This window comes from Homo sapiens, chromosome 5 (genome assembly GCF_000001405.40).
Source record: "Homo sapiens chromosome 5, GRCh38.p14 Primary Assembly".
Classification (NCBI taxonomy): Eukaryota; Metazoa; Chordata; class Mammalia; order Primates; family Hominidae; genus Homo; species Homo sapiens.
The window spans coordinates 149,463,929-149,472,585 of record NC_000005.10 but is presented as its reverse complement, the minus strand read 5'-3'; the positions used below and the strand labels follow the sequence as shown (position 1 = coordinate 149,472,585).

The following is an 8,657-nucleotide window of genomic DNA, read 5'->3' as shown; positions in this document are numbered from 1 at the left end:
CAGTGGGCTGTCTGGATGCAGCTGCAGAATGAAAGAAAAGGCAAGGGCCTGGCGCAGTGGCTCATGCCTGTCTGTAATTCAGCACTTTGGGAGGCCGAGGTGGGTGGATCACTTGAGGTCAGGAATTTGAGACCAGCCTGACCAACATGGCGAAAACCCATCTCTACTAAATATACAAAAAATTAGCCAGGCGGCGTGGTGGGGCACACCTCTAACCCCAGCTACTCGGGAGGCTGAGGCAGGAGAATTGCTTGAACCTGGGAAGCAGAGGTTGCAGTGAGCCAAGATTGCGTCAATGCACACTCCAGCCTGGGTGACAAAGTGAGTGAGACTCTGTCTCAAAAATAAATAAATAAATAAAAAAGAAGCCTCTAGCTCAGCTCCCTGCTTTCCAGGAGGGAGAACAGCCCTGAGTGGGAATTTGATGTGCAGGAGCCACACAGCAGGTGCTGAGAGCCAGGCCACAAATACAGGGACTCCCTCCCCTCCAGCCTTCCCCCTGTGAATGGACATCACCCGGGCCGGCACCCCCGAGAAGGTGCTATGCTGCAGGTAAAGACTGCTTTGTCCTGCCAGAGCGTGGTTCCTGGAACTTGTCGCAGTCCCAGTAGTCCTTCCCCCACAGTGATCGGCTCCCTCTTGGGTTCCTGGGTGCGGGAAGGAGGTGAGGTCAGCAGTTCCAGCAGCCAGGAGAGGAGGGTGCCGCCCTGCCTGAGATGACTTCACTGTCTCCACCTCATCTTTCCCACTTTGCCTACAGTCGGAAGCTTCTTGTGAACTTTGCTTCCTTGGCAACTTTTGCTTCCTTGGAAAACCTCCAGAAGAAATACAGGGACACAGGGTCCTTTCCACATGCTGCACTCAGCAAAGATTTCTTACTCTGTGTCCAGAGAGGCTTGGGCTGCTATTCATCTGCTTCCAGCCTCTCCTGGTGCTTCCACAGTGGAGGACATAGGCCCTCCCTCCTCTTCTCTCTAGTGCCCTGGAGGGTCGAGGTCCATGCTACTCACTGGATGGGAAAAGCAAAGGTGGAGAGCCAGGCACAGTGGAGCCAGCAAGCCTGGAAACTCTCCTCTCCCTTCCATCATAGCCCTCTCGTGGTCTCTGCCTAGCGCGCAGCAGTGGCGGGTGATCGTTTGCAATATTTCCCAGCTCTTGGTAGCCTGACTGTGAAAACCCCATCTCAGTCGAGTAAGGCCCCGATTGGAACAAGGCCCTATACCCTCTAGCGCTCCGTCACTCCCCATACCCCATTTCTGCGGCTCTCCCTCCACCACCCTCTCGAGCCACCCTGAACTGCCTGCCTCCCTCACGGAGACTGAGGCTGGCCCCAGAGCATTTGTACTTGCAGTCAGCCTAGACTTTCCTTCCCAGCTTTTCTGAAATGCCACCTTCTCCGTGAGCCCTTTCTAGGCCACCTCAAATGTGAAGATGCAACCTATGCTTCACGCCTCACTCCTTTCCGTGTTTTATTTTTCTCCAACTCACATACTGTATACTTCACTTCTTATTTTAGAGTAGCAATAATCTCAGCCCCCACTAGGATGACAGCAACACAAGAACAGATGTTTTGTTGGTCTGTTTGCTCAGCACAATGCCTGGCACACAGCAGGCTCTCTACAAACATCTTTGAATATTGAAAGAATAGATGAGTGAATGCATAAATAAGAGAGTGATGAAAGCTATTTTGCCCTCCTGAGCAAGGGAAGTTCCCTCCCAGCTGCGGACATCCTGAAAAGTGCAACAGATGGACTCTTGCAGGAGAGAATGGACCAAACCATGGGTCAGGATCTTGGATGTTAAAACTACCAGGGATAGCCGGGCATGGTGGCTCACGCCTGTAATCCCAGCACTTTGGGAGGCCAAGGCAAGCGGATTGTTTGAAGCCAGGAGTTCGAGACCAGCCTGACCAACATGGTGAAACCCTGTCTCTACTAAAAACACAAAATTAGCTGGGCATGGTTGTACATGCATGTAATCCCAGGTACTCGGAAGGCTGAGGCAGGAGAATCGCTTGAACCCAAGAGGCAGAAGTTGCAATGAGCTGAGATCATGCCACTGCACTCCAGCCTGGGTGACAGAGCAAGACTCTGTATCAAAAAAAAAAACAAAAAATAAAACAAAAAAACTACCAGGGATGAGCACCACCTCCACTCCTTACCCCAAGCATACTTTAATTTTTAATATTTATTTTATTGTTATTATTTTTTGAGACAAAGTCTTGCTCTTGTCTCCCAGGCTGGAGTACAATGGTGCGATCTCGGTTCACTGCAACCTCCACCTCCCGGGTTCAGGCGATTCTCCTGTCTCAGCCTCCCGAGTAGCTGGGATTACAGGCGCCTGCCACCATGCCCGGCTAATTTTTGTATTTTTAGTAGTGACGGGGTTTTGCCATGTTGACCAGGGTGGTCTCGAACTCCTGACCTCAGGTGATCCACCTGCCTTGGCCTCCCAAAGTGCTGGGATTACAGGCATGAGCCACTGCGCCTGGCTTTATTATTATCATTTTGAGGCAGGTTCTCACCCTGTCACCCAGGCTAGAGTGCAATGGTGCCATTATGGCTCACTGAAGCCTCAACCTCTTGGGCTCACTTGATCCTCCCACCCCAGCCTCTCAAGTAGCTAGGACTATGTGCCACCACACCCAGCTATATTTTTATTTTTTAAACAGACCTCAGTCTAATTCTTTCTTTCTTTTTGTTTTGTTTTGTTTTGTTTTGTTTTGTTTTCGAGACATAGTCTTGCTCTGTTGCCCAGGCTGGAGTGCAGTGGCAGGATCTTGGCTCACTGCAAACTCCGCTTCCCGGGTGCAAGCGATTCTCCTGCCTCAGCCTCCTGAGTAGCTGGCATTACAGGCGTGCACCACCACACCTGGCTAATTTCTGTATTTTTAGTAGAGACGGGGTTTCACCATGTTGGTTAGGCTGGTCTCGAACTCCTGACCTTAGGTGATCCATCCGCCTCGGCCTCCCAAAGTGCTGGGATTATAGGTGTGCCAGGCCATTTTTTTGTATTTTCAGTAGAGATGGGGTTTCACCATATTGGCCAGGCTGGTCTCAAACTCCTGACCTCAAGTGATCCACCCGCCTTAGCCTCCCAAAGTGCTGGGATTACAGGTGTGAGCTGCCGCGCCTGGCCCCCTCTTTACACCTTTTTAATGTAATTGAGTTATAAGTTAGATATGATAAAGGGCACACATCTGAAGTAAACACCTTGATGAATTCTTACATATCTGTCCACTTGGCTACCCACCACCCAGTTCAAGATGTGAGCCATTTCTATCACCCAGGGAGGCTCCCCAAAAGGCAACTGTCATCTTGACTTTATCATCGTAGGATTGGCTTTGCCTGTTTTAGAACTTCACCTAAATAGACCCAAACAGCGTGTGCTCTTCTGTATCTGGGCTTTTTTTTTTTTTTTTTTTTTTGAGGCGGGGTTCCACTTTGTCATCCAGCGTGGAGTACAGTGGCACAAACGTGGCTCACTGTAGCCTTAACCTCCTGGCCTCAAGCAATTCTACTGCCTCAGCCCCCACAAGTAGTTGGGACTACAGGCACACACCACTACACCTGGCTAATGATTTTTTGAGATGGAGTCTCACTCTGTTGCCTAGGCTGGAGTGCAATGACGCGATCTCGGCTCACTGCAACTCGCCTCCCAGGTTCAAGCAATTCTTCTGCCTCAGCCTCCCTAGTAGCTGGGATTACAGGCGCCCGCTACCACGTTTGGCTATTTTTTGTATTTTTAGTAGAGGGTTTAGTAGAGGGTTTAGTTTAGGGTTTTGCCATGTTGGCCAGGCTGGTCTCGAGCTCCTGACCTCAGGTGATTTGCCCCCCTCAGCCTCCGAAAGTGCTGGGGTTACTGGCATGAGCCACCGCACCCGTCCATGCCACATGCCCAGCCCACACCTGGCTAATTTTTTATACTTTTTGCAGAGACAGGGTTTTACCATCTTTCGCAGTCTGGTCTCAAACTCCTCAGCTCAAGCAATTCTCCTGCCTAAGCATCCCAAAGTGCTGGGATTACAGGCATGTAAACCTCGCAGCATAGGGTCTGGCTTTGTTCTGCCTAACATTGTGTCTGTGAGGTTTACCCACATTGTTGTGTATCACAGTAGTTTGTTCTTTTTTATTCCTGTATAGTAGTCCTCTTCACTTTTTTTTTTTTTTTTTCGAGACAGAATCTCATTCTGTCCCCCAGGCTGGAGTGCAGTGGCGCGATCTCGGCTCACTGCAACCTCTGCTTCCCAGGTTCAAGTGATTCTCCCACCTCAGTCTCCCGAGTAGCTGGGATTACAGGCGTGCACCACCACACCTAGCTAATTTTTTGTATTTTTGGAAGAGATGGGGTTTCACCATGTAGGCTAGGCTGGTCTCGAACTCCTGAGCTCAAGTGACCCACCTGCCTCAGCCTCCTCTTCACATCTTGAGTGTACAGTTGTATGATCTGGACCAGTTCTTTCATCTGGCCTAATAGAGGACACAGTGAACCCTGCCCTTCTACTTGCTCTTAGGTCTCTTGCTTTATTTACATGGACACACAAGCTAGAGAGACACTTGGTTGCTGTGCTTCAGCCTTGGGGACCTCATAGTAGCCCACAGCAGACCGGCATCATGGACAAGTGCTTTGGCCCTAGAATCAGGTCTGTGTTCACATTGCTCGTCTGCCACTTCTTGGCTTGGTGATCTTCAGCAAGTCACTAAGCCTTCATTTCTTTTCTTCATCTATAAAATGCAGATGTAATTATACTACTGACCACATGGCATTGCTGCAAAGGTTTAATACAATGAGCCATGTCCAGCCTGGCTGTGTCTAAAAATACAAAAATTAGCAAGACTGGGTGGTGCACACCTGTAGTTCCAGCTACTCAGGAGGCTGAAGTGGGGATAGCTTGAGCCCAGGAATAATTTGAGACTGCAGTGAGCTATGATTGCACCACTGCCTTCCAGCCTGGGTGACAGAGCAAGACCCTGTCTTAAAAAAAAAAAAAAAAAGAGAGCCATAAGTCTGGTACTCAGGCATAGACGATGCTTCGAAAAGCTAATTATTATTATGGCTTAGACCACCAGACACTCCTCCAAAACTGGAGTTCCAGGATCTTTGCCCAACAGGCTGATCCACAGCTATTTCTTGGCCACCTCTCCCCATGCATCTACCAGGCTCCCTGCTCAAGCCTCCGTTTTTGCAACTTTCAGAACTCTTTTATTTTTTATTTTTATTTATTTATTTTTTGGAGATGGAGTTTCACTCTTGTTGCCCAGGCTGGAGTGCAATGGTGCGATCTCTGCTCACCACAACCTCCAGCTCCTGGATTCAAGCAATTCTCCTGCCTCAGCCCCCCGAGTAGCTGGGATTGCAGGCATGCACCACCATGCCCAGCTAATTTTGTATTTTTAGTAGACACAGGGTTTCTCCATGTAGGTCAGGCTGGTCTTGAACCCCCGACCTCAGGTGATCCGCCCACCTCGGCCTCCTAAAGTGCTGAGATTACAGGTGTAAGCCACCGCGTCCGGCCTCAAAACACTTTTATAAAAGGGCACAGGGGAACAACCGAAACCCAGAAGAAATGCAAGGAAGCACACATATATCAGTATCATTTTACAAGCTCCATAATTGAAGCTTTGTATCATCGTCGGGTCAGATTCATTATCAAGGCTTTCATTCAGGACTTTGAACTTGAGCCTCACTCACAAAGTGCTGAGTGAGGAAGCAGTTTTAAGTGCGGAAGGCAGGCAGCAATTTGAGATTCAATCTGGTCTCCCAGATGAGAAGCCTGTGCCACCTCCCGCCCACGCACAGAGGTCTGTTGCCTCCCAGCAAGAGAGCCGCCATCCCCACCAACGCGACCACTCACAAGACACAGCCCCACCGAGGGGAGCATCCCGACATCACCCCATGACTCAGCCTCCTGGGACTACTAGCCTAGCATGATGACGTGGTGCATGAAGTGCCTGTATCAAGGAGAGCCTTGGGAGCACATCAGTCACCCGACTCACCACCAGCAATGACTGTCACTTCCCCTACAAGCTTCGCTAAGGATTTACAACAGCAGCGATAGGATCTGACACAGGTGGACAGCTGCGCGGTTTCTCAGTCACGCACCCAGTGGGACTCAGAGCATCTTCAGGAAGCACTGCTGTCTTCGTCGTGTGATATGAGAGCTTAGATCCATCAGTGAGCGTGCTGAGCCCCTTCCAACCTGATCTCCCTCCCACGCCCCCAAGTTCCTCCTTACTGTGAAATTCTGGAGCCACTGCTGGTCACATTTCAGGGATTTGTGGGGCACTTGCACTACCCTGGGATGGCCACCCCATAGGACCCAGTGCAGCACACTGGCAGCCACTGTGCAGAGAAATAATAACAATATGATAATAAAGAACATTCACTGAGTGATGACTTTGTGCCTGGCACAGCATGCGTTAGCTCATTTCATCCATTTGACAATCCTGTGAGGCGGTGTTATGGCTTGAACATCTCCCTGCCCTAAAAGATGCAGGAGTTGGCCGGGTGTGATGGCTCATGTCTGTAACCCCAGCACTTTTGGAGGTCGAGGCGAGTGGATCACAAGGTCAGGAGTTCAAGACCAGCCTGGCCAAGATGGTGAAACCCTGTCTGTACTAAAAATACAAAAAATTAGCCAGGCGTGGTGGCAGGCACCTGTAATCCCAGCTACTCAGGAGGCTGAGGCAGAGAATTGCTTGAACCTGGGAGGCGGAGATTGCAGTGAGCCAAGATCGTGCCACTGCACTCCAGGCTGGGCAACAGAGCAAGACTCCGTCTCAAAAAAAAAAAAAAAAAAAAAAAAGATGCAGAAGTCCTAACCCCAGTACTTGTGAATGTAACCTTATTTTGGAAATAGGGTCTTTGCAGATGATCAAGTTAAGTTGAGGTCATTAGGGCCCTGATCCAGCATGACTGTTGTCCTTATAAAAAGAGAAATTTGGACACAGAGGCACACACAGGCAAGAACCATGTGAGTGTGAAAGCAGAGGTCTGGTTAATACGTGCATAAGTCAAGGAACATCAAAGACTGCGAGAAAAGCAGCAGAAGCTAGGAGAGGTCTCGAACAGAGACTTCCTCACAGCCTTAGAAAGACTCAGCCCTACTAATACCTTGATCTGGGCCTGCCAGCCTCCAGAAATGAGAGGCAATATATTTCTGTAGTTAAAGCCACCCAGTTTGTGTTACTTTGCTATGTATGATAGCCCTAGCGAACTACTACAGGCGGGTGTTATTATTACCCACAGTTTACAGGCAAGGAAGCTGAAGCTTGACTCTGTCCTGGCTGTAGAGAGAGTCCGATGATGGAAGCCCTGAAGTGGACAGGAAGTTCAGGAGGGGCTGTTTGTTCCACCAGCTCCCGCTTGGTTGTGGTCATTTTTTTTTTCTTTTTATACAGACAGGGTCTCGCCATGTTGCCCAGGCTGGTCCTAAACCCTTTGGCTCGAGTGATCCTCCTGGTTTGGCCTGGCTGTGGGCTTTTACTCCCACTGCAGCAATAGGGAGTTTTGCAGTCTGAAGCTCAGCCTGGTGGCTTCTCCCTGCCCCCCTCCAGTCCTTGAAGGCCCAAAAAAGGAAGGGCTGAGTCAGTAGTTGGGGAAAGGAGCCATAAACAGACACAGGGCAAAGGCTGCCGAGCAGGCTGCTGGGATGAAGGGCGGGGGCTGATTCCCAGGGGTGAGGGTCTGGCTGGAAGATGGTGGCAGCACCAGATTGGCCTGTGCTGGAAGGGCCTGCAAGTGGTGGCTTCCTTCCCTCTTGGGCTCTCTCAACCTCAAAGTCCTGAATGGGCCTTGGATGGAGTTGGGGACCCTGCTAGGGGCACAGAGAAGAACAGCATGGGCACAGCCAGGGCAGGAAAGCATAGCCATTGGTGGAGGGCGTGAAGACGGGTGGACAGAGAGCAAGGGCTCTGGACTTGGGTGTACCTGGGTTCAAACCCTGTTTTCTTTACTCACCAGCTTGCTGAATTTGGTTTGCCCTCCCTTGGCCTCAGTCTCCCCATATGTAAAATGTGTGGTACTGACATAAAAACAGACATGCGGCCTGGCACCATGGCTCACTCCTGTAATTCCAGCACTTTGGGAGGCTGAGGTGGGAGGATCTCTTGAGCCCAGAAGTTTGAGACCAGCCTAGGCAACATAGTGAGAACTTGTCTGTACAAAAAATAATTAGCCAGGTATGCTGGTGTATACCAATGGTCCCAGCTACTTGGGAGGCTGAGGAGGGTGGATCACTTGAGCTCAGGAGTTCAAGACCAGGCTAGGCGACATGGTGAAACCTTGTCTCTACCAAAAATACAAAAAATAAAAAATAAAAAATTAGCCTGGTGTGGTGGCCTGCGCCTGTGACCCCAGCTACTTGGGAGGCTGACGTGGGAGGATCACTTGACCCCAGGAGGTGGAGGTTGCAGTGAGCTGAGATCACACCACTGCATTTCAGCCTGGGTGACAGGAGTTGAGACCCCCTCTCAAAAAAGACAGACATGTAAGGCGGGACACAGTGGCTCACTCCTGTAATCCCAGCACTATAGGAGGTCGAGATGGATGGATCACTTGAGCCCAGGGGTTCGAGACCAGGCTGGGCAACATGGCAAAACCCTGTCACTACTGAAAATACAAAAAATTAGCCAGGTGTGGGGGTACATGCCTGTGGT

General features: G+C 50.2%; 1 annotated feature.

The window, feature by feature from the left end:
- Nucleotides 546-840: a silencer, noted in NCBI's record as "tiled region #12996; K562 Repressive DNase matched - State 8:EnhW". NCBI's record gives its function as "represses a minimal TATA promoter and a strong SV40 promoter by Sharpr-MPRA in K562 cells {active_cell/tissue: K562}" and the evidence as "EXISTENCE:reporter gene assay evidence [ECO:0000049][PMID:27701403]".